The sequence below is a fragment of the Homo sapiens genome, chromosome 9 (assembly GCF_000001405.40).
Source record: "Homo sapiens chromosome 9, GRCh38.p14 Primary Assembly".
In the NCBI taxonomy this organism is placed as follows: domain Eukaryota; kingdom Metazoa; phylum Chordata; class Mammalia; order Primates; family Hominidae; genus Homo; species Homo sapiens.
Genome location: NC_000009.12, coordinates 99830500 through 99855711, shown reverse-complemented (window position 1 = coordinate 99855711; position 25212 = coordinate 99830500). Strand labels below are relative to the sequence as shown.

At 40.9% G+C, this 25212-nt stretch overlaps 1 protein-coding gene across 4 annotated transcripts in view, besides 1 other annotated feature; it reads right to left on the bottom strand.

The window, feature by feature from the left end:
* NR4A3 (nuclear receptor subfamily 4 group A member 3) overlaps positions 1-25212 on the bottom strand; it is a 45007-nt gene that overhangs the window by 11180 nt on the left and 8615 nt on the right. For 3 of the 4 annotated variants that reach the window (NM_173200.3, NM_006981.4, XM_017015162.2), the window contains 4 exons: positions 22894-23023; positions 22258-22430; positions 10864-11063; positions 8097-8275 (listed from right to left, as the gene is read on the bottom strand). In NM_173200.3, coding sequence (NP_775292.1) covers positions 8097-8275; positions 10864-11063; positions 22258-22430; positions 22894-23023 — 682 coding nt within the window. Of the gene's footprint in view, positions 1-8096; positions 8276-10863; positions 11064-21410; positions 22431-22893; positions 23024-25212 lie in introns of those variants that run through there. The other variant, NM_173199.4, reaches the window with a different exon arrangement.
* Positions 21537-22736: an enhancer, noted in NCBI's record as "MED14-independent group 3 enhancer chr9:102595258-102596457 (GRCh37/hg19 assembly coordinates)". NCBI's record gives its function as "activates an origin of replication core promoter dependent on BRD2, BRD4, P300/CBP and CDK7 cofactors, and independent of MED14, by STARR-seq in HCT116 cells {active_cell/tissue: HCT116}" and the evidence as "EXISTENCE:reporter gene assay evidence [ECO:0000049][PMID:35650434]".

The following is a 25212-nucleotide window of genomic DNA, read 5'->3' as shown; positions in this document are numbered from 1 at the left end:
ATCACTCATGTCATACACAACATCCTTTACTGATGGGCAGTCCCAGAGACATTGAGCCCACGCTGGTCAGGAAGCGACAAGTCAAGTCAGCAGTCTGTGTTGAGGCTGATTTAAATGGTACTTTTCAGTCTGACCGTCTTTGATTTGGTAGAGTATGTGTCTGTCTCTCTCTCCAGTGAGACCACAGACTCTTTGAGGGTAAGGGAATGTGTGTCTGGTGCACAGTTGATGCTCAATAAATATTTACTGAATTAATCTGAATCAAAATAAGGCAATTTTCAAGAATTCATACTTTTATCATAACAGTGGTAGGCTAAAAATTATTAATTCAGATTTTTCTAATTTGGGAGACTTTCTGATACTCACAATTGGCCCATTCATTCAATGAATATTTGTCATATGCCAGATACTTGTAAATGCTAAAGTAATTTTAAAGATAAATAAGACTCTCCCTGTCCTTAAGAACCCCACAGTCTAGCTGGTAAAGAAAGACACAAAGAAATTCCCTAACACAGCAAAGTCTCAGGATACAAAATCAATGTACAAAAATCACAAGCATTCTTATACACCAACAACAGACAAACAGAGAGCCAAATCATGGGTGAACTCCCATTCACAATTGCTTCAAAGAGAATAAAATACCTAGGAATCCAACTTACAAGGGATGTGAAGGACCTCTTCAAGGAGAACTACAAACCACTGCTCAAGGAACTAAAAGAGGACACAAACAAATGGAAGAACATTCCATGCTCATGGGTAGGAAGAATCAATATCGTGAAAATGGCCATACTGCCCAAGGTAATTTACAGATTCAATGCCATCCCCATCAAGCTACCAATGACTTTCTTCACAGAATTGGAAAAAACTACTTTAAAGTTCATGTGGAACCAAAAAAGAGCCCGCATTGCCAAGTCAATCCTAAGACAAAAGAACAAAGCTGGAGGCATCACACTACCTGACTTCAAACTATACTACAAGGCTACAGTAACCAAAACAGCATGGTACTGGTACCAAAACAGAGATATAGATCAATGGAACAGAACAGAGCCCTCAGAAATAATGCCGCATATCTACAACTATCTGATCTTTGACAAACCTGAGAAAAACAAGCAATGGGGAAAGGATTCCCTATTTAATAAATGGTGCTGGGAAAACTGGCTAGCCATATGTAGAAAGCTGAAACTGGATCTCTTCCTTACACCTTATACAAAAATCAATTCAAGATGGATTAAAGATTTAAACGTTAAACCTAAAACCATAAAAACCCTAGAAGAAAACCTAGGCATTACCATTCAGGACATAGGCGTGGGCAAGGACTTCATGTCCAAAACACCAAAAGCAATGGCAACAAAAGACAAAATTGACAAATGGGATCTAATTAAACTAAAGAGCTTCTGCACAGCAAAAGAAACTACCATCAGAGTGAACAGGCAACCTACAACATGGGAGAAAATTTTCGCAACCTACTCATCTGACAAAGGGCTAATATCCAGAATCTACAATGAACTCAAACAAATTTACAAGAAAAAAACAAACAACCCCATCAAAAAGTGGGCGAAGGACATGAACAGACACTTCTCAAAAGAAGACATTTATGCAGCCAAAAAACACATGAAGAAATGCTCATCATCACTGGCCATCAGAGAAATGCAAATCAAAACCACTATGAGATATCATCTCACACCAGTTAGAATGGCAATCATTAAAAAGTCAGGAAACAACAGGTGCTGGAGAGGATGCGGAGAAATAGGAACACTTTTACACTGTTGGTGGGACTGTAAACTAGTTCAACCATTGTGGAAGTCAGTGTGGCGATTCCTCAGGGATCTAGAACTAGAAATACCATTTGACCCAGCCATCCCATTACTGGGTATATACCCAAATGAGTATAAATCATGCTGCTATAAAGACACATGCACACGTATGTTTATTGCGGCACTATTCACAATAGCAAAGACTTGGAACCAACCCAAATGTCCAACAATGATAGACTGGATTAAGAAAATGTGGCACATATACACCATGGAATACTATGCAGCCATAAAAAATGATGAGTTCATATCCTTTGTAGGGACATGGATGAAATTGGAAACCATCATTCTCAGTAAACTATCGCAAGAACAAAAAACCAAACACCGCATATTCTCACTCATAGGTGGGAATTGAACAATGAGATCACATGGACACAGGAAGGGGAATATCACACTCTGGGGACTGTGGTGGGGTCGGGGGAGGGGGGAGGGATAGCATTGGGAGATATACCTAATGCTAGATGACACATTAGTGGGTGCAGCGCACCAGCATGGCACATGTATACATATGTAACTAACCTGCACAATGTGCACATGTACCCTAAAACTTAGAGTATAATAAAAAAAAAAAAAAAAAAAGAAATTCCCTAACACAATGTGTATATTCAGTTGCAGGGATGCATGAACACTTTTATGGATTCTTAGCAAGACAGCTGGCTCTTCATGGAAGTGTGTAAAACAAATAATAACAGTGAAGGTTTGTCTAATTTTTTTTCTGCATAGTACATATTAGTTCATTCAATTTTTATAAGAAACCTGAAAGTAGACATCTTTAACCCTGTGAGAAGGAAGGAAATTGAGATTCAGAGAGGGTAAGGAACTTGTCCAAGATTGCAAAGACAGCACATTTCAGGGTGAAGACCTGAACTCAGATCTCCGGTCTCTAAATCCTGTGGCCTCTCCCCTCTCCCACCATTTTTGTTTTTAACTATTTTGCCCCGCTAAGTTTGATATTTAGTTTTCCTTGCAATGTAGCTGATGGCTTTATCTGATGCAAAAGCAGGGGTAACCAGGTAACCATTTACAGTGAGCAGTGGAGCTCTGGAAAGACAGATGGTGGAGGGTGTGCCGTGGTCAGCCACCTGTCTAGTCCTGCTGTGTCACTGTTTCACTACTTTCTGCCATGGTTCTGCCCTCCTTCCTCCTTCTCAGTCTTAGAGGTCGTGTTTCAATAAGACCAGGAAAAAGACTAGAGTCAGACGAGAAAGGAGTCATTTTCTCACCTGAGAGATGACCTGAGTAGGGAAAAGAAAGCCATGGGGAACAACAAAATGGCATTTGAGCACTTGAGATTCCCTCTGCCATCTGGTTCAAAACTATCTTTCCAATCTTATTTCCCCTATTTCTGTACAGGAAAAGCGTTTTGCTCTGAGGTTAGGTCATCACATCAAGCCAGAAGGTAAATATCACATAGAATTAGTTTTATCCCTGAAAATCATTTAACTTTCCCAAAAGCACAAGACATCATCTCACCACTCATCACCAGAGGCAGAGAAACCATGACCTACAGTGGATTCATGCTCACTCCAGGACATACAGTCATCAAATGCAATAGCCTGCACTCTTAATTTTTCTCCTCTTTCTACTTGTATCATATGTGTGATTTTAATATATGCACAATGCAACTCCACTGTAATTGTTTTAACCCTAAACTGTACTGAGGCATTCAACTGCCATGCCCTTGCTGTTCTCTTTCCTTCATCTGGAATGTTCTTTATGTCTTCTCATGTCTAGATGCTACCTCTTTGGGAAGTCATTCATGACCAACACTTCTACCTTCCTTCACCTCAAAAAAGTTAGCAGTAATCTGGACTTACTCTACACTGCATCTGTCCCTTTTCAGGGCCTGAGCACTAATCACTATACATCAAGTTTATATATCATAATCTATGACTTCCTAGTAGACTGCCCACTTCTTGGCAACAGAATGCGTGCCTGGCTCATCTTTGCATCCCAAGAGACTGGTACAATGCTTGGTACATAGTGGGCCCTCGATGCTTATTTAATGAGTGGATATTTATAAAATGGTAATGCCACACTAACTTTCTGTTTGGTGAGGGGGCTTCTTATTTATGAAACATTATTAACTGCAACCAGATATCAACTCATTGGTATCCCACCAGATTCAAAGCACTTGCATTACTTCAGAGATGCAGCACTGGCAAAGGGCAATGGTTAGGGTAGATAAACAGGGAACCTGAAAAACGTTTGAAAGCCAACCACTGTGGGGAACCCCCTGTTTACTGCAGGAAAGGAGAGTGATCTGAATGAAACCATTTCCTGCCCCACTTCACCGCCTAGTTTTTCATGAGGGGGTACAGAGAGGAGGAGGACAAAGAAAAAAAGAATGAGAGAAAAAAAAGCCATGTTTGTGCAAACCACCAATACTAATCCAGATTCTTAATACTTTTCCTGGAAGCAAGCCTAGTTAAACTTCTAAGATGCCATTTCCTTTTCATGAGCTCTCTGTGGTTTAAGAAAAGACAGTTTTGGGATGAATTTTGTAATGTAAATAGCCCAGCTGATACTCCACAATCACCATTTATGATCAACGAAGCTTATTCAGAAGTCAAGATCCATGGCAGCTCATATTCAAATGAAAATTAATATTCACAGCAATGCACACTGTTTCCCAGGCATTGCCTTTTCTGCCATTTCCTGATATTTTCACACTTATCAAACCCACTTTCAACCAGTAAGTCACAAAGAGAGTGTTTGTTGTAAGGTCCAGAAATGAGAGAAGAGGGCTTATTTTTGTTGTAGGCTAAAACCACAGCAGGAATGAGGGCAGGAACAGGAGCTACCTGGTCGGGGAGGCCCAAAGACACCACTGTAGAGCACTTGGTCTATTGTAAGTGCTTGTTAAGTGCAGCTTAATTACTTTAATATCACTATCCTCCTTTGAGCCTCTCTCTTAAGCATCCAAGGAGACTGTCACCAAACATACTGCCTTCTAAAGCCACCACCTGTTTCCTCATGCCACTGAGTTTGATGCTTCCAAGGGGTAGGGGAAGGCATATGCCTAACTTGAGGGAATCTGTCACTATCACTCCAAGGGGGACCATAGGTGAATTCAGAGTTGCCTATCCTGAATCCAGTTTGGTTACATCACCAACTAAATTTTCTGTAATCCTCACTGCTGCCCTATGACATAGACATTGTTATCCCCATTTTACAAATGGGGAAACTGAATTTCAGAGAACTGAAATGTGTTCCCCAATAGCGCCTACTTATTAAACATAGGACTGAAGATTAAAATCTGGGCGTGCTCGATTCCAAAGTCCATGCTATTTCTGCCATGCCAAACTGCCTCCTCCCCCAGCCAATCTCCACATAAATGGGCAGCGGGCTGAGCAGCTGTAACTGCAGGGAATAGAACAAATGGGATGCAGAAAGAGGACCAGCACCACCCTTCTACTAATTTCTACTTTGTATTCTCTGCACTGAACTGCCCAGTCTCTCCAGGTTGGGTCTTCCTGGCACCCACACGTCCTGGCCTCTTAGATATCTGTCAATTTCCATTTAAAGAGTGAAACAAAGATGTGGCCTTCAGGGATGGACCCTCCTCTTGAATCATGGCTCTCACACCTGGACTGGCCTTTTTCCTCTTAGATTCTTTCTCACTCTAATCTATGCCCAAAACTCACTGACAGGGTAAATCTTTCTAAAACGCAAACCTGACCATCAAGCTCCTTTGGACAAAACCTGTGGATCCTCGTTGTTCTCAAGATAAACTCTGCTCCCCTCACCTAGGCGTGGAAGGTTCTTTATGTCCCGCCCCACCCTGACCTATCAGACCAGTCACATCTCCTGTCACTCCAATTTTCAGCTGTTTCCTTTCTGAAACTTAGCCATATTTTCAATGGCTTTTGGCAAATGTTTATGCCTGGATTCTCACTTTTTCCATTTTAGCCTGGAGACATCCTCTGCACTTACAAAGGACCAGCTCCTGTGATCTCTTCTGAGAAGACCACCCCCACCTGCTGTCTCTGAGCACTTTGAACTCACTCCCTTGTCTCCATGGTGGCACTCAACACCTTGCATCACATGTGGTACTTTGCATGTCTATGTCCTCTAGGGATGTGTGTTATCATCTCTGAAAACCCAATGACATGCAGCATGGTGCCTAGGTCAGTGAATATTTGTTGATTAACTAGACTCAACACTCGTTGCCATGGAGATGAAGCAATGTACTGCTTTTACTTGTAGGAATCCAAAGCTGGATCTAGTTTTTTGTTTTTGTCTTTTTAAAATGAACTAAACTCCATACTTTCTAGTTTTGAATGTTTAACTGACGTAGGAATTGCTGAATGGTTTTGAAATTGAACTAAAGAGCTTTAGTTCAAAGGCAGCCTTGAACCAGTTTCCTTCCAGTCCTGATGAAGTAATATGCTTGTGCCTTAAATCTGTTTATTTTCTTCAGATGCTCCAGTATGCCATTTGAAAGCCTTCCAAATGGAATCCATACTCTTTGAGACTGCCTTGGTTTTTGTTTCGTTAATGGCTCTCTTGGAAGTCTAGCAGCCCCATTAAAAAAAAAAAGTGAGTTTCTCATCCTGGACCAAAGACCAGGAGGAAGTCAGTTTCCATTTGGAATACTGAAGGAACAGCTACTGTCTGAATCCTCATTGCAGCCATACCAGTTGCTTGTCTTTGCCTGCATGTCAACCATCAAATGATGAACCAGCCTAGCCTCTTAAGGCACAGACACATCTAACCTTAGCTAATAGGAGATATCCCAAGAAATGCAAGTAAACAATGCTTGGGCAAACCAATGCACATTTCCAGTGAAACAGAAAGAAGGGGCCATCTGTACCAGAGGTTGCATTTGATGCTCTGGAAACTCACCACCTGCTTGAGAAACATGTTTTCTATAGCCAAGAGCATATTATTCTGATCTTGAACTCTGTTCAACAGCCAAGCCTGTGCTTGTGTCTGACCAAAAGGTCAAGGATGAGCCCCTCATTTGGCCACTTCTGGAGCCCCCACCCTCTGTCACCACCTCCCCAGGCCCCAGTCTGACCAGAAAGAATGAGGTCTAACAGGAAACTCTCCCCCGGGGCAAAGGGAGCTGGGGCAAGGGCCTCCATGGCCACAGGGAGATGATATTCTTTCCTTTGCCCAACACGCGCCTTTCTCCATCCCACCCCACCTTGGGATCCTTTATCTCCCAAAAGATAGAAAGAGAGAGATCTATAGAGGGAGACAGGCATAAATCAAATATCTTTTATGTTTGTGGTTAAAAAACTGCTGAGTTGGCTGGGTGTGGTGGCTCACGCCAGGAATCCCAGCACTTGGGGTGCCAAGGCGGGTAGATCAATTGAGGTCAGGAGTTCGAGACCAGCCTGGCCAGCATGATGAAATCCCATCTCTACTAAAGATACAAAAATTAGCCGGGCATGGTGGCAGGTACCTGTAATCCCAGCTACTCAGGAGGGTGAGACAGGAGAATTGCTTGGACCCAGGAGGCAGAGGTTGCAGTAAACCAAGATCACATCATTGCACTCCAGCCTGGGCGACAGAGTGAGACTCCATCTCAAAAATAATGATAATAAAATTTTAAAAATAAAAATAAAAAACTGCTGAGTTGAACCATTTTTGCTTTTTCTCAGTCCTTTGCCAATCGAAGTTATTAAATCAAGTTGTATTTGATATGTCTATAGTGTTTTGGTTTTACTTTAGGTCGCTAGCCAAGAACTGGGGACAGGGGAAACCTCATCACCTCTGCTCCACAGGAATGGGCTGGGTTAGGTAATCTCCCTAGGAAAGGCTTTGTAACAAGAACACTGAACCAGTCTGGGCAACAGGGTGAAACAGGGCTACAAAACAGGACAAATGTGTGGTGGCATGTGCCTATAGTCCTAGCTACTCAGGAGGCTGAAGTGGGAGGATCACTTGAGTCCAGGTGGTCGAGGCTACACTAGGCCATGATCACACCACTGCTCTCTAGCCTGTGTGACAGAGCAAGACCCTGTCTCAAAACAAACAAACCCTGAAGCAGCTAGTCCCACTGTCCACAGATCTCTAGTAGGAAGTTAGATTTTCGTATATTGGGCTTACTGACAATGATAATTCAATAGACTATGGATCCTCTTTACTAGAAGTTTATGACAACAAATTATAGATGCATGTTTCTTTGCTTAAACTAGGTTAAACTTAACAGATTTCAGAAAAATGGTAGTCATTTTCCCACTTTTCTGGTGTGTGTAGTGGTCAAGGCCAGATTCCACCATAACAAAGGGAAGGAGAGAAATGAGGATGCGGTTTTGGCAAGGTGGTGCTTACCTGTGATCATGCTCAGTGCTGACAGGCAGGCTAAGGCTTGGATATCAAGGTTCAGGCTCTGCAAATTTAAGGAAAAGTCTTTAATAGAGTCGAGCCACTCCCCAAATCCACGAAGGCACTGAAGTCGATGCAGGACAAGTCCATTGCAGAACACAAACTTATCTTCAGCAGTGTTTGACCTGGGAGGTGAGAGGAAGACAAACATTAAACAGGTCTGTTCAATCTGTCCAACATGATAACATTATGACACACAGGCACACAGACAGCCATGGGGCAGCATTGGGACCCCAGTGTGGTGCTATGAAGCATGCCAGATACCCACAATGAATAAGACTATGTTCTCTGGGATAAACAACTAGCACCACTTGTCTATGCTAATGTCTTTGGTGAACATCAGCCCAGGGGAAGATATGGGCTGTGGCACCTGCTATCTTATTACTAGAATCAATTACTGGCTTTCCTTGGGACAGGAAATGGGGGAGCAGGCACTCATGGGTTCCAGAGATGAAGCCCAGTGCACCCCTCTCTCAGCAATGAACATGAGACTGTTCCCTCCAGGGATCCTGAGACAGGGCTTGTCCTTGATTTTCTTAAATGTTAAAAACTGCCAAGGCCTGAGGCTAGACACTACAATTCCATTGTGCACACTTTAAAAATACCAAGTCCCTGGCCAGGTGCGATGCCTCACGCCTGCAAGCCCAGCACTTTGGGAGGCCAAGGCGGGTGGATCATCTGAGGTCAGGAGTTTGAGACCAGCTTGGGCAACATAGTGAAACCCAATCTCTACTAAAAATACAAAAATTAGCCAGGCTTGGTGGTGTGCACCTGTAGTCCCAGCTACTCAGGAGCTTGAGGCAGGAGGATCACTTGAACCTGGGAGGCGGAGGTTGCAGTGAGCCAAGATCGTGCCACTGCACTCCAGCCTGGGTGACAGAGTGGGACTCTGTCTCAAAACAAAACAAAACAAAAATCAAGTCCCTGTAAGTGCCAGAAGTCTATCACAAATTAAAGGGTGGCCTAACATAAAACAAGTCCTTATTTTGTATTACCTTCTCTGCTTTTAACATTGGGGCTGCAGAGGGCTATTTCTAAATCTGTCCTGATAGTTTATATTATGTCCATCATCATCTCATTCTTCTTTCATGATAGGTGCCCTGGAACTTCCAGGTGGACATGATGACTTGGGGTGTGGCTTTGGGTGCTCCTTAAATCTCTCTGGACTTCTTTTTCCTTATTTATAAAACAAAAATTCTAATTGCTACCTCCTAAGATTGTTGAGGGAATTAAATAAAAGAAAGGATTTGAAAGCCCATGCATGGTGCCCAGTACACAGGATGGTTCGACAAATATTGGGTATAACAAGTAAGGGGCTGAATTATATGTGGTTCTTCCTTTAATCTTAGATTTCCTTTAACTTTCAAATCTCTTGCCACGTATGTATCTATCTTGGCCTGTTGTATTCACAAGTCAAATATCTCTTTGTGCTTCTTGGATGAACAGCTTCATTCATTCCTTCACTCAGCCAAGTGTCTACTGAGCATGAAGTATGTGTTATTCCTGGAGCCAGGCACTGGGAGAAAACATGGTGAATAGGACATATATGGCACCTGCCTGCATGGAGCTTACAGTCTACTTAATCCTTTGTTGCATGCCTAATAGATGACAGTCACATTGCTGGCTCAGCTCTGGTGTACACTAGATTGGCTACAAATTAAGCTATTACTGGCACTCTAGTTGTAACTCCACCCCATCTCTCCTACTGATCCCTCCACAGAAGGCATACACAGGACAGAATGATTTAGTCTCAGAGTATAAAACATGGACCCTGATGACATCAGAATCATTAAAGCATATGTTAAAAATGCAGATTTCTGGACTTCCACAGTCTACCAAACCAAAATAGATGGCAATGAGGCCTGGCAATCTGCACTTTAAAAATTAAACAGGAGTTTCTGGTAGTGATATGAAATTGGGGAGGTGATGGCAGGAAAGAGAAAGAGGGGAAAGATGGATTTTTCTGATAATATTTGGTAAAAAGTTGGTATCATCTCCTAAAAATATATAACTGAAAGGAAGCAAGGAAGATGGAGTTAAACAGGCTATTTGTGAATAAAAACAATAATAAAATAAACTTTAAAAAATCTACATGTGGAACTTACTAGAGGAGCTTAGATCCAAGGTTCTATGTTTTTGAAAAATCACTTTTCCTTTTTGTGTTTGGCGTCACTGAGTATGATAGGATGGACTAAATCTTTCTATCTAAGAGTGTTCTCTTGGAATAAAACTGGGGGTTGAGAAGGTGTGGGAACTCTTTAGGGCCCCATCAGGTGTGCTAGAATAGTAACTTGTTAAACAGAAACCCACGAGGTAAATACAATGTTCCAAAGCAAACACTTGCTCCCAGGAAATAGCTTATGCACTATGAGAATCTTTCGAGAATCATAGAATGTTGGAGCTGCAAGGGACCTCAAGAGATCATCAAATCCAACCTCTTCCTTTTAAGGAGGATGGAATTGAACTTCCCGTCAGGCAAGTGACCTGCTCAGGGTGTGACAGCAAGTCCACATTAGAACTGGGACTAGAACCCACGGGTCCTGGTGGCAAGCCTAGTGCTCCCTCCGTGACTCGCTGCTCAGTCTTTTTAGTGCCTGATCATATTTCACATTTGCTTCTTGAGAAAACGTTTCACCAATGATTCAGTTACAAACACAGAAGGTTTCAGGCTTCTTCAAAGGACGTAGACTGAAGATAAAATAGTAGTAATTACCTGATGGAAAGTCTGAGGACAAACAGCTCCAAAAAGGCTGATTCAATAAGTAATGTCTGATCTTCTTTGGGGAGATCAGTAAATCCCGGAATCTTTTCTGCCCAGCTTCTGGATACATCAATGGAGGCTGTCAGGAGGTTGTAGAATTGTTGCACATGCTCAGCATCTGTGCCTGCAGCAGCCTGGTCAGTGGGACAGTACTAGAATGCAAACCAGAGAGAGCAGCATTATCCTGCTTCAGTGGGGATGATGGCATCACTTGCAAACAGGCCCTTCCAAGACCATCAATGCCTAAATTCTTACTTTTAGGTGTTACAGTTTATAAAACCCCTTCACATTCACAGTCTCATGTGATTCTCACAATGGCCCTGTGATACAAATACAGCAAATTTTATCGTTATCACTTAATAGACAAGGAAATTTGCTTAAGCCGAATTGGCAAAGTGGTTTTCACCCTTGACTGTGCAGTGCAATCACCTGGGGAGCTTGAAGAAACAACTCTTGTCTGGGTCCTGCGCCTAGAGATTCTCATTTAATTGGTCTGGGGTGGAGCCCAGGGGTCAAGAATTTTAAAAGCTCCCCAGGTGACTCCAAAGTGGAGTAGCCCAATTGAGAACTACTGCCCCAGGAGTTTGTGTCCAAGTAGATCTCAAGGGTCTACTCATTTCACTATAGCACAGCTGTCTCCCCATGAGATGCTAAATTAACCCAGTGGTTCTCAAAGTGTGGTCTCCAGACTGGCAGCATCAGCAACACCCAGGAATGTGTTAGAAGTGATAATTTCGGCCTGGGCGGTGGCTCATGCCTGTAATTCCACCACTTTGGGAGGCTGGGGGGTGGGGGGGTGGTGGTGAATCACCTGAGGTCAGGAGTTCGAGACCAGCCTGGCCAACATGGTGAAACCCCATCTCCACTAAAAATATAAAAATTAGCTGGGTGTGGTGGCATGTGCCTGTAATCCCAGCTACTCGGGAGGCTGAGGCACGAGAATCGCTTGAACCTGCAAGGTGGAGGTTGCAGTGAGCCAAGATCGTGCCACTGCACTCCAGCATGGGTGCCAGAGTGGCACTCTGTCTCCAAAAAAAAAAAAATGACAATCTCAGGCCCTACCACAGACCTACTGAATTAGAAACTCTGGGGGTAGACACAGCAAACATCAAAAAAAAATTTTTTTTGTAGAAATGGGGGCGTGGGTTGGGGGTGGGTATCGCTATGTTGCTCAGGTTGGTCTTGATTTCCTAGACTCAAGCAATTCTTCTGTCTCAGCCTCCCGAAGTACTGGGATTACAGGCATAAGACACCGTGCCTGGCCCACCAAACTGTCTTATCAAGATCTCCAGGTGATTCTCATACACAATGAAGTTTGAGAATCGCAGAAATAATCAACAAGAGAAAGAATGATTTTTGCTGGCTGTTGATGAATTTCTGTGAGATAAAACAAACCAGGAAGTGGTGGAAAGAGAGGTCTCTTTGGCAGAACCCAGGCAGCTGTGTGCCATCAGACTCAGGACTTGTGGCTATTTAAGTTAATAAAAACTAAATGAAATTAAAAATTCAGTTCCTCAGTCATGTTAGCCATATTTCAAGTGTTCAATGGCCAAATGTGGGATAGAACATTTCCATCACTGAGGGGAGGTCTATTGGACAGCATGGATCTAGAGAGTCCGAAGAGCAGAACGATATAAGTAGGAATAAAGTTTTCACCCAGCTTTCAGAAATTCTGGTGGAACCAGAGTTTTTCTTGAATCACCGGAGTAAAGACTTTTCTGCTGCAAGCAGGAAGACTGACACAGCAAGATACTAATCAAGGGACAGCCAACAACACAGAGATTTAAGAGATACACAGAAACACGTAAATAGGCACATCATTTCCTTCACATTAACATGGCTGTGCATCATTTTGCATTCCTTTTCTGAACTGATCCTCATGGGTAGGGATTTTAATCTTTATTTTACAGGTGAAAAAACTGAGGCTCAGAGAAGCTAAGAGATTTTCTCAAGTTACACAACCAATAGTGGTACAGCCAGGACTTATGCTGACCCTGTGATTTCAAGTTTTACCCCTCCTAGCTATTAAGTATGTCTGATGTTACTAGCTGGTGGGATCTTTTTTTTTTTTGAGATGGTGTCTTGCTCTGTCGCCCAGGCTGGGGTGCAGTGGCACGATCTTGGCTCACTGAAACCTCCACCTCCTGGGTTCAAGCGATTCCGTGCCTCAGCCTCCCGAGTAGCTGGAACTACAGGTGTGTGCTACCATGCCTGGCTAACTTTTGTATTTTTAGTAGAGACAGGGTTTCACCATGTTGGCCAAGCTGGTCTCAAACTCCTGACCTCAAGTGATCCACCTGCCTTGGCCTCCTGAAGTGGTGGGATTACAGGCGTGAGCCACCGCGTCTGGCCTATGAAATCTTTAAAAAGCATTTTGCTTTACTCTCACTGGAGCTCTCCAGGTATGTATTCATTGGTCCTATGTTTCTGTCAACAGTACAGTGACTGGCACATAATTACACCTCAATAAATAACTGTTGAATATTTTTTCAATGAAAGAATAGTCAGAAGAGTGCTTAGGTTTGCTGTAATATCCTAACCTGGTTGGAGAAGAAACAGCTAATAAGCAACTAGGTGCTTACTGTGGAGCTACCTGGGTGAGAGGAAATGAGACGCTTATTTAATTGGGTCTTTTTTTCTTTGTGTTTTCCCAAGAAGCAGTATTAAATAACTAAAAAAAAAAAAAAAAAAATCAGAGAGTCCAGCTACTTTAATCTCAATTTTGTTCTGGCCCCTAATATGGGAAATAATGTAGGATCATTTTGCTTTTATGAACCTCAGCTTTCTACTCTGTAAAATGGGGATACCTTCCTCAAAAAAAATTTTTTTTTGAGACAGGGTCTCGCTCTGTTCCTCAGGCTGGAGTGCAATGGTGTGATCAGGGCTCACTACAGCCTCGACTTCCCCAGCTGAGGCGATCCTCCCACCTCAGCCTCTTGAGTAGCTGGAACCACAGGCAGGAACCACCACGCCCATCTAATTTTTTCTATTTTTTGTAGAGGCAGTGTCTCTATATTGCCTAGGCTGGTCTTGAACTCCTATATTGCCTAGGCAGGTCTTGAACTCCCATATTGCCTACACTGGTCTTGAACTCCTGGGCTTAAACGATCCACCTGGCTGGACCTCCCTACAATCTATGCTGGGATTACCATGTGTACCATCCCTGGCCTTCCTCAAAATTTTGCTGTGATGATTAAATGTGATAACATATGTAAAGGGCCTGATATATAGTACATGATTAACAAATGACAGTGATGATATTGATAGCAGTTATGATGTCTGAAATAATCACCATCCCTCAGCTTCCATATTTATGAAATGGAATGGGTTGAAGTAGAAAGTTTTTGATTTTCAGCCCTGATGTTCTAAGATCCTATAACATCTGGTCCAGTTCAGAGCCCTGGCTTCTCTGTTCCCAACAATCCTACACAATGCCTGGGATTCTATGAAGTCCTGAATATTCTGTGTTGTAATAGACCATGGGAGCAAAGTCCAGGAGAAGGAAGCATGGCGGCACGATCCTATGTCATAGACACTTGCCACTACCTCCTCCTTTTTTTTTTTTTTTTCGGAGACAGAGTCTTGCTCTGTTGCCAGGCTGGAGTACAGTGGCATGATTTTGGCTCACTGCAACCTCTGCCTCCCGGGTTCAAGCGAGTCTCCTGCCTCAGCCTCCCGAGTAGCTGGGACTACAGGCGCACACCAACATGCCCAGCTAATTTTTGTATTTTTAGTAGAGACAGGGTTTTACCATGTTGGACAGGATGGTCTCTAACTCCTGACCTTGTGATCCACCTGCCTTGGCCTCCCAAAGTGCTGGAATTACAGGCATCAGCCACCGCGCCCCACCAGCACACAGACTCTTAACTGGAAGAGAGTGGGGAAAAGGGAATTAACTTTCCCCTTTTTTATTTTCTCCTTATTTATGAATTTATTTAATAATTCCACAGGCTCTCCAAGAGCAGAATGAAATTCAGGGCAGATCCTCCCTTTCAAAAGCTGAGGGAGCTACTTGTGAAACTCCCAAATGAGTGGGAGTAAAGGAAAGTGTGTTGGACCAAGCAGCAGGTCATGGGGTCCTCATCCAGGCTCTGCACTGACTTGCTGTGCAGTTCTAGACAAGGCATTTAACCTCTCTGAGTCAGTTTCAGTCTCTGGAACAGGAATAAAGTGGACTACCTGATCCCTAAGATTACTTCTGGCTCTTGCATTAAATGATTCTAAATATTGCTAAATCACACCAGGTATGATGTTATTGCCTGGAACTTGACACTGATTCAGCATTATTTTGTTTTAAAATAGTGGGAGAGAGAAAAAGACTAAAGAATGAATAGTTTCCCCTGAGAATGGATCTGACAGCTACCTCCTGCACTGACTCCCCTGAATCCATGGCTCACAACTCAACAATCTCTCTGCTTCCAATATTTGTTCAGAATCCATCAAAGTGTGTAGCTTTCACCCAGGGTCCTCTGCAGGCTTCTGCCCCTGCTGGGCTCACATTTCATGCCTTCTGCACACAGGGAAGTGAAGTCCCTGCCCACCCTGTGTGTGTACTTTTCTCTGATGGAGCCCAGCAAGAAGGAAAGCCAGCCGGCCCAGCCTGCCAGGCTCCAGCCAGATCCTCTGGGCTTCACCTGCAGTGGTTTTGGTCCAAGTCTCAGAATTTTGGAGCCAAAGTGAATTCAGTCTGAGCCACCAGTAACTTGGGGGTGACTGGAGGGTCAGCATCCAATGCTGGAGGAAAAGAAAAATCTCCTCTATTGGACATAAGATGTAAAGGAACGGAACAAAACGTTTTAGATTTTTTCTCTGCCTGGCCTACCAGTTTAGGAAAACCTCACCCAATGAATACTGGTCCTAGAGTTGGAAGGACTGGACTCCCAGCTCTGTGTCTCTGCTGCCCTACATTGATTGCTCTGTCTCTGGGCTAAGTAGGTTTGGGGTTTGACAAAGAAAATCTAGAAATATTTGCTTACTGATCATGCCAATCGAACATAGGTCAAATGCAAAAAGATTTTTTTAAATGAACTTTTTTCCTGTTTATACTAATTTTTTTCCACCCTATAGGGGTTATTGATCTGTCAGAACTCTGGCTTTCTCACTAGTCAAAGACACAGTATTACATTTACTGACAGCCAATGCCTAAGGAAGGTTTCTCTAAAGCACCTAGAATGGGAATCTAGAGCTGCAAACAACAGCAATGGATATTATGTAAACTAAAATGGGTCTGTGTGTTTCATATGGCAGTAACGCAGCTATACAAGTCAGACTTCAGCAATAGCCCAGGCCCCAAATGAGATATTTGTGTGGAAATTAAGTGAGACCCATGGAAAACACCACCCCTCAAAAATTAGTGATGTGAGGCTTTAATAGCAGAGTGGAATCTAATATTTACTCTATCTCACTTTCAGCCCTGGCTAAATATGTAGACTACGCTAAGGACACGTTTTTCTCCCCTTAAAATGTTACTTTTCTCAACTATAGCTCTAAAAATTTTAGATGTGATCATTGTATAAGTCAAACTATGTATACATATTCTTAGGTTCTTACACTTTAAAAAGTGACATTTTAAAAATTGGCAATGAATATATTTTCCCCCCAATTTTTTCTTTTCTGATCTAACTCTATGCCCCCACTCCAAAAAGCAAAAAGCAAAAAATTCCTCTCCTCCCACCAATGACATCACTGCAATTGTATATTTGTTTACTCTTTTTCTCCTTTACAGGTATGTAAGGTTCATGTGGATAAGGGCTTTGTCTTGTTCAGCAACGTGTCCATTGCCCTGGAACAGTGCCTACTACCTAGCAGCCATTCAGTAAGTATTTGTTAAATGAATTGATTGCTTTCAGGAAAATTTATATCTCTATTGCTCATCCCTTCTCAACCCCAGGAAAAGCTGGAAAATTCAAGGTAAAATTGAGTTGTTATTATAAACTATATCGATGGTTCTCAAACCTTAGTGTGCCAAAGAATCATCCAATGGCACTTTTTAAAGTACAGATTTTTGCCTGCCTCTCCTTCTTCCCAGTTCTGATTCAGTATGTCTGAGTGGGTATGGCCTGGGAATCTGCATTTTAAAGCAAACACCCCACCTCTTTCTCGTAGGAGCAGTCTGGGCACCATGTTTTAGGAAATGCTGACCTGTACTCATAGTGGAACTATAGCAGTTATTAATATTATGGTCAGAATATCAGGGAATGAGAAGCCTGGAGAGATAATGGGAATGAATTTAGCTTAATCTCTTTACCATTTGGATCAGGAAACTGGCCCACAGAGGGGCAGGAACTGGCGTGAAATCATCTGGTGAATTGGTAACAATTTGAGAGGGTCTTCTGAGATGCTTCATGAAACCACTCTTTTTGCAGCTTCATTCTGTTTACCTTGTAGTTCTAACGTGTCTTAAGCCACATTGTTTCATAGGCTATCTTGTGAACACATTTAAATGCCATTTGCTGGTGCCTGGTTTTATCTGAGCAGCACCTCTCGTATTTGCAAGTCTGTTACTCCGTTAAGTGGCACTGATTACCAGAAAACATCCTAGTATGCTGAAAAATACTTGAAATGATCAACTAATGAGGACACTAAGTATGTTTTCTCATTAGTAATTATGCAGGCTCTGAAGCTAATCCCAGTATCTATACATACTTGTATTGCTAAATTAAAAGCAACTGTGGTGCAGAGAACAGAAACATTTTGAGGAGAGACAAATCAAACGTGACATGTTTTGACTGCACTGATGTACAATGATCTGAGCTCACTTTTGAGGGAGAGAAGTTTGGCCCAAAGGAGAACTGAAGGTCCCAGAGCCAGGAATGCTTCACAGAACTCAGGAGCTCTTTCTGGCCTCTAAAACATTCATTTCCTCTGTGACTTGGAACAAAACCCCTCCACCTCCCATTCCCACAAATGGAGAAAACTGCTCACTTACTACCTTAAAGGAACACATGCTAGTACATGAAGATTAAAACATACTGGGCTGGCAACACATTTCCTCCTTTCTCTATTGACCTGACTCACTGGGGGAAGCTAGCATCTTTAATAAATTGTAGGGCTCAAATCAACTCTCAAACTTGACAGGGCAAATTCTTATTTATAATGTAATAGATTATGGATACACACTAAAACACGGCTAAGGAGTGGGATCGGGCAGCTATAAATGAAGTAGAGACTTTCATTTTTCATTTTATCCACTTGTAAATGGTTGCCTTTAAAAAAAAACCCCAATGGATATATATTACTATTATTGTAATTTAAAAATATTTAATAAAGTTTATATGTTCAAAAATATAATAAATTGTCATTAAATAGAAGTGACAGTATGATGAAATAGAAACCTATTGAGTGATGAGATCTGGATTTTGTCCTCTACTCTGTCACCGACATTAGGCAAGCCAGTTAACCCCTTTAAACCTTAATTTACTCTTCTGAAAATATGGGACTTGGATTAGATGATCCCAAGGTCACTCCAGTTTTATGAATTTGTATATGTAAAACTTTAAGAAGGAAGGTATTATGAAAACTGAATTTCAGTGAATGACATTATTAAGGAAATTACTCAAACCATAAATAATACCACACAGAGCTGGAGTCTTAAGTGAAATTATGTAAGAATATATGTGATGGTCAGCAAAGGAAACAATTTAAAAAGTGAAATACTACAGAATGGGAGAAAATTTTGCAAACTATCCATCCGACAAGGGATTAATAACCAGAATATATAAGGAATTCAACTCAATAGCAGAAAAAAAATCTATTTAAAAATAGATAAAAAACCTAAATAGACATTTTTCAAAACAAGACATAGAAATAGCCAACAGGTATGTTTAAAAATGCTCAACATCACAAATCAACAGGAAGATGCAAATCCAAACCACAAGGACATATCATCTCACCCCAGTTAGAATGATTATTATTAAAAAGACAAAAAATAAATGCTGGTGAGAATGTAGAGAAAGGGGAGCACTCATATACTGCTGATGGGAATGTAAATTAGTATAGCCATTATGGAAAACAGTATGGGGGTTCCCCAAAAAGCTAAAACTAAAACTACCTTAATTACTCCCTGTGTTGATGAACTCACACTTCCACAGCAGCTAGTATGGCCAACACTTGTTATCAGACAAGTGAGCGGGAAGAGGCCCCCCTCCTCTCTCTAGATCTGTCTTTGGGAGAATAGTTCTTTTTGCCATAGGGCAAAAGAGTGACCCAATTTCACCAAATCTTTTCCCTTCTTGCCTACATATTTCTGTTTCCCCCAATCATCCATTACAAGTTCCCAGAAACAGTAAATCCCAGCTTAGAACTGGACTCAATTCACGAAGAACAGTCTGACAGGACAGAGTCCATGCAACCATCATCAACTTGGGTCTGCCCATACTCCTACTACTGCAGCTGAAGGTAATGTGGCATCCCTCCCTTCTACCACACACGTTCTTTGTTGGTTCATTTTGAGTGTATATGGAATAAACTCCCCAGATCTTCTTAACATGAACCACTTTGCCAAGGCTCTCCCATTTGTTTAAATTCTAAATGCTGAGCTTCAGATTTATTTTTGTTAACTTTCTTTGTGATGGTTTCAGCCCTTCCTGTTCCAACCTGTCGAGATCACTCTGAATGTTGATACTGACATCCATCATATTAGCGATCCCTCCCAGCTTTCTGTCATTTGCAAATGTGATCAGCATGCTTTTATGCTTTCATCCAAGTTTTTGATGAAAACTCACTGTATTTTTAAAAAGTCTTTTAATTTAGTTGATTTGGGTCCAATTTTTGATAATTGTGTAATGCCATCTAAAAGCAGGGGAATCCAAGTTATGAGGTTCAACCTGATTCCAAAATAATGCAATTAAAATAAATATGCTTTGCAAAATTGAGCCAGGCCCCAAAGGTAGTACCAATGTGACCCAGGCTCTGGCATGGTCAATCTGCTATTTTGGACAAAGCTAACAATTAAATTGGATAAATGTTTGTTGATGAGGATGATGACTCTAGACTAACAGACTGAATGGTGCAGAGGCAAGCAAACACACTAGATTGATTTTTCAGTGTGGGGACAGTTCCCAGCTGGGACAACTCAAAGTGCTGGGAAAGGTTTGCCATTGAATGACTAATTAGGCCATGTAGACTGATAATTGGATAATTTGGGGCCAAAAAATTACTTTTGAGGCCTAAATTATCTGTACTGACCATCTATTGTGCTTTCAAATGCCCTGGAGCAATGTCAGATTGTGTGCTATAGCCTTAGCCTAGGCAGTGCTAAGAAGCTTCACTAATTCAGATGAACTGCCTTTGGAGAGGCCAGGGTGCTTCTGGGAGGAGAACTCTTCATTCCTGAATACTTTTCTAGCACCCACTCTCACTGGAACCAGAGAGGCAGTGAAGCTTGGTATTTAGGAGCCCAGATTTTAGGTTCAATACACTTGGCTCTTAATATACTTGGCTCCTAATTCTGTCTCTGCTGCATATTAGTTCAGTGACCTTGGGCAAGTCAGCCCTTTAGCCTCTCCCAGTTTAAATTTCCTTATCTGTGAAATAGAGATCATAATACTTATCTTTAGAGTGTTCTGCATGATACCTAATGTAGTGTTCATGCTCATTAGGACATTGAACAAATGGCAGAGTAAGAAAGTTTGGCCAAGGAAATAACATACAGGGCACTGTGCTAAAGCTTTGACAAGTATAATTGTTAATTAATCTTCACGAACAACCCCAGGAAGTAGATATTACTATTACCCCACAACACAGAGGAGAAAACTGAGGCATCAAAGGGTGTAATCAGTTGCTCAAGGTCACTTAGCTAGTAAAGGACAGTGTTGGGATTTTCATCTAGGCCCGCATGATTCCAAAGAAGCCTAAACTGTTAACTTAGTCTTATTATTCTGCTTTATTCTCTTACACTATTATTTGAGACTTGATTGTAGTCAAGAGCCACTACTTATAATCAGAATAAGAGTCCTCAACCTTTGATGCTAAGGATCTACCATGCTTCTCATATGACGTTTTGTTATCAGGTGCAGAGAGGAGGCTTCGCAGCCTATAATGAGGGTGGGGAAGAGGGAAAGAGGATCACAGCAGGTACACTAATCATTTCTATCAACACTGCAACCTAAGGAGAAGGGCACATAGCAGGGACACACTCACACTGTTTGCCAGCCATTCAGCCAGAAGCTTGAAACACTGATTAGACCTGGGGAGGGCAGTTTGGTAGTAGCCACCAAGACAGATCAACCGACTGGGGGCCTCTGGACTGGTATTTCTTTATCTGAGTGCAAGCTGTGTTTCTAAGGTTTTTTGTTTTTGTTTTTGTTTTTGTTTTCCTTCAAGTAGGAGGGATAATGATTCCTACAATTCATGGTGGTTTAAAGGATTAAATGAGATAATGTACCACAATGTCTAGCATATAGAAACTGCTCAATAATTGTGATTTTTTTTCCTTCTCTTCCCTCTTCATTGAGACCCTGTTTTGCTAGAAGTTTAGTTTTCTAAGTCCTTTAAAGAAATTGCCTTACAGAGCTGTTTATTCATTTGCTCAGGAAATCCTTTCTCATGGTTCTTCTCTGTGTTATCCAAATTTTGAGGAATTTGCAGGGTTCAGACTGATGGGATTTTACTATATCCCATATGAAATAAAAATGTTGATATGTTTTGGTTGACTTAACTATAACAACACCAATCGTCATTTATGGTCTTAAAAACATTTTCACAACCATCATTCTTGTGTGACTGGTGTTCAGAACACCCCTCTGAGGTTAAATATTGTAGCCATTTCCACTGTAGGCAGGAGAGAGCCAAAAGCAGGAACCAGGTGACACAGGCAGGAAGTAGCAGAGGTGGCGTTCCATCCCAGTTCTCCTGACAACTGATGTCACAGCCAGAGCTCGCTTCTCTCCACCAATGGTCTAATCCCTCTGAATAAGCAGCAGGTCAATCAATGCTGATGCAATTGGATAAACTGCTTAGTAATAACTTGAGGCTCACCCAGATGGTTTGAACACAATATGAAAAAAAACAGTAGTCACTTTGTCTAGATCACGAGATAAATCTACAAATTGTAGTTTGTCTGTGCAGATTTTCATTGGCACAACCACCAGGAATCCTGCAACAATGTGTATGACAGGTGCAGCACTGTCAGGGTCACTTGTTAAGGCATTTAGAGATTCAATAAGGCAAAAATTATTTGCTGCAATGGATGCACTGAATTGCTAAATGAAGCGAGAAATATAGAAAAAGTATGAAAACTGTCTAACATGGTGCCAGACACAAAATCATTCAATCAACTCTTATTACTAGTAGCCATAAATAGAGACCCTGATCATTCATTTGAAAGCAGGAAATCATAAAACTTACTCTGGAATAATCAAGATCTCTGGGTGTTGAGTCTGTTAAAGCTCGGACAAGGGCATTCATCATGCAGATTGGAGGAGAAGGTGGAGAGGGCTGAGAAGGTTCCTGTTGTAATGGGCTCTTTGGTTTGGAAGGCAGACGACCTCTCCTCCCTTTCAGACTATCTGTACGGACAACTGATGCCAAAAGAGACAAAGAAAACAATCTTCAAAGATTATGGAATGAACGACCATAAATCGCAAAAAGGAATAAAAACACATTACAGTTGAGCAATCATTAATGAGACCAACCATTTAAAAGTGGTAATAAGTTTGGAATAATATTCACACAATGATTTCATGAGAGTTGAAACAAGCAGCATAAAAGCCACCGATATTTACATTTGGTAATGAATTAGCCCTAAAAGTCTCCTTCTTAAATAGAACAAAGATGTATGTATACAAGTCCTCTGTTAATTTTGAGAAATTAGAATAAATAGTCCTCAGTTATTTTAAAATGTAGATATATATGATAAAAATAAAATGTTGAAAGGAAAAAGGAACTAGAAAAATTCACCATCCCAATGTAAATATTAGCTTTTTTTCACTGATTTCTGATAATATGTATAAGCAAACTGGGTAAAAAGCATTATATCCATACCTTCTTTTACCATTCCAACACTGAGACACTTCTGAAATCGACAGTACTGACATCGGTTTCGACGTCTCTTGTCTACTGGGCAGTTTTTATTTGCCAGGCAAACATATTTTGCATTTTTCTGCACTGTTCTCTGAGAAAATATAATACAAGATAGTCAACTGATAGTTTCTGGAAAGAGGTAGGACCTGACAAGATGTATTTTAATTACAATGTGAAAAGCGACAGTGCAATTCGTATAATTCGATAAATTTAATTTCCTAAAACGCTAGCCTGCAGGAAAAACAATTTTATTAGTGTTAGCTGCTGACAATGAAAATCATCTCGGATTGTTCTAAAGCAAGTCTCAGGAGACACCCAACTCTGAATGATAAAATCATATCTGAAATTACCAGGTCAACATATCATACCTTGGAGAATTAGATTATCTCCACTTTTAATATCCCTTTGGGAACAATTTTCTACTTGTTCCACTCCCCTGATTATTGCTGACCTTATTAAAATAAAATCAAAATTATCTGGGATGTACTTTGTTTGCTATCACTATTGTAAGTCAAATATCACAGTAACTGGCTTTGTTACCCAACAGAGATGAAATCATAAAAACCAAAATCAGGATTTTTCTAATTAAAACATATAGGAAATAATGTTTTAATGCAAAAAAACTAACTTAATCAGCCTGTATAGCTTATTTTATCTTTAAAGACCATATATGATAAACAGTCCATTCCTGATTTTTCAAAGCAAAATCTTAAAAGTAGTTATTACAAATCATTATTATATCCAAGGAAGAAAACAAAAAACCCCAAGGTACAAACGAAAAATGAGACAAAGAAAGATATATGACAGCCATATATTTTCAGTGAAAATTCCTATTAATAGGTCATTTCATAAATGTCTATTGACATAGACACAGTAACCATATTGTAAAAAAAATCATAAAACTTAAGGTTGGATAGAAAAATGATGTTGTATTTTTCAGAATCCATATAATTTGGAAATGACACATGGAGAAATAAACATATTTCGTCCTCCAAATTTAAACAAATGCTTGCTTTTTAAATTGAAAACATTTGTGCAAATGAACGTATTTTTACCACTTAGGGTGAAACTGTTCAGAAATTACCTGGATCTATACAACTCCAAATAGAGCAGAAAGTTGAAATTTATTTGGGAAGCCTGGGCTGCATTAATAAAAAAAGAAAATAAATCCAGGTAACTTGGGCTTTATGATCTATTTTGTGTTCAAACATCTAGATTTGCTTTTTAACATTTACTTCCAGTCATTCTCAACCCCCATGTTTCAGTTTTACCCTGTTACCTTTTAATTTCATTTTAGGGGATAGTTTCTAGATTGCTTATATAAAACTTAATATAACAAAGCCAACCTATGTCAAGTCTAAGACATGTTTCTCCCACCATAGTAGGTGATTTTAGTTTAAAATGCAAAATTCTGAAACACAGGCATACTTCTGAGGTTCCAGCATTTAAATTCTTAGCAGTCTGTAAGGGTAGGAAACGTGTGTTTCCTGAATAAAGCTTTCATTGAACATGCAGTAATTTCTAACACTCTATTTCTTGCCATCATCCTCAAGGCTTTATGCCAATTTGAGTGCTGATGGCATTTTGCTTCAGGTATACATTTTCCCAATAACCTGAAGCCTTCCCTACATTTGTGTTTAAGGACAGGGAGAGATCATTATGGTTCAATCACCGAATTCCTATCATTAACTGCACTTCATGTCACATTTTTAAAGAACTCAATTTAATGGTAGAAAGCCACTGGGTAAAACCTGCTCCGGTTCCCTTAATTAACAGTTCTGTGGGGTGATTCTCCCCCATCTTGCCCCCACCCTTTCAAGTATAGATTTGTTTTCGAGGGATTGCTGCAGAAAAGAGAAGCTGTTGGGGAACACTTAATTGACATTTCTGGACTCAGAATGTATTACCACTCTGGTATTTTGGTCAACTCTCCATTATTTAGAGATAATTATATTTGTAGATTATTCATAATTCTTGTTTTTTTCTTTCCCCCTTTCTGCTGCCAGTTTCACTGTCCTTCAGCATTTTCCACTGAAATCCTGTAAAAATCAAATCTGCTAAAGGAATGCAGTTACTTGAAAGTAGCTCTGATAAAGCTTGAGTAGTTAAAACAAAAAATGGCCAAACTCAGTGGCTAAAAAATAAAATAAAATGACCAAGATTCTGCATTTAAAACATCATAATCCCAAATATCTGTAGGGCACTTAACGTATTGCAGTCTTTCCCCAAACATTTTCTCATTTCTCTGCAGAATTCAGGTAGTGATATTTACAATCTGAA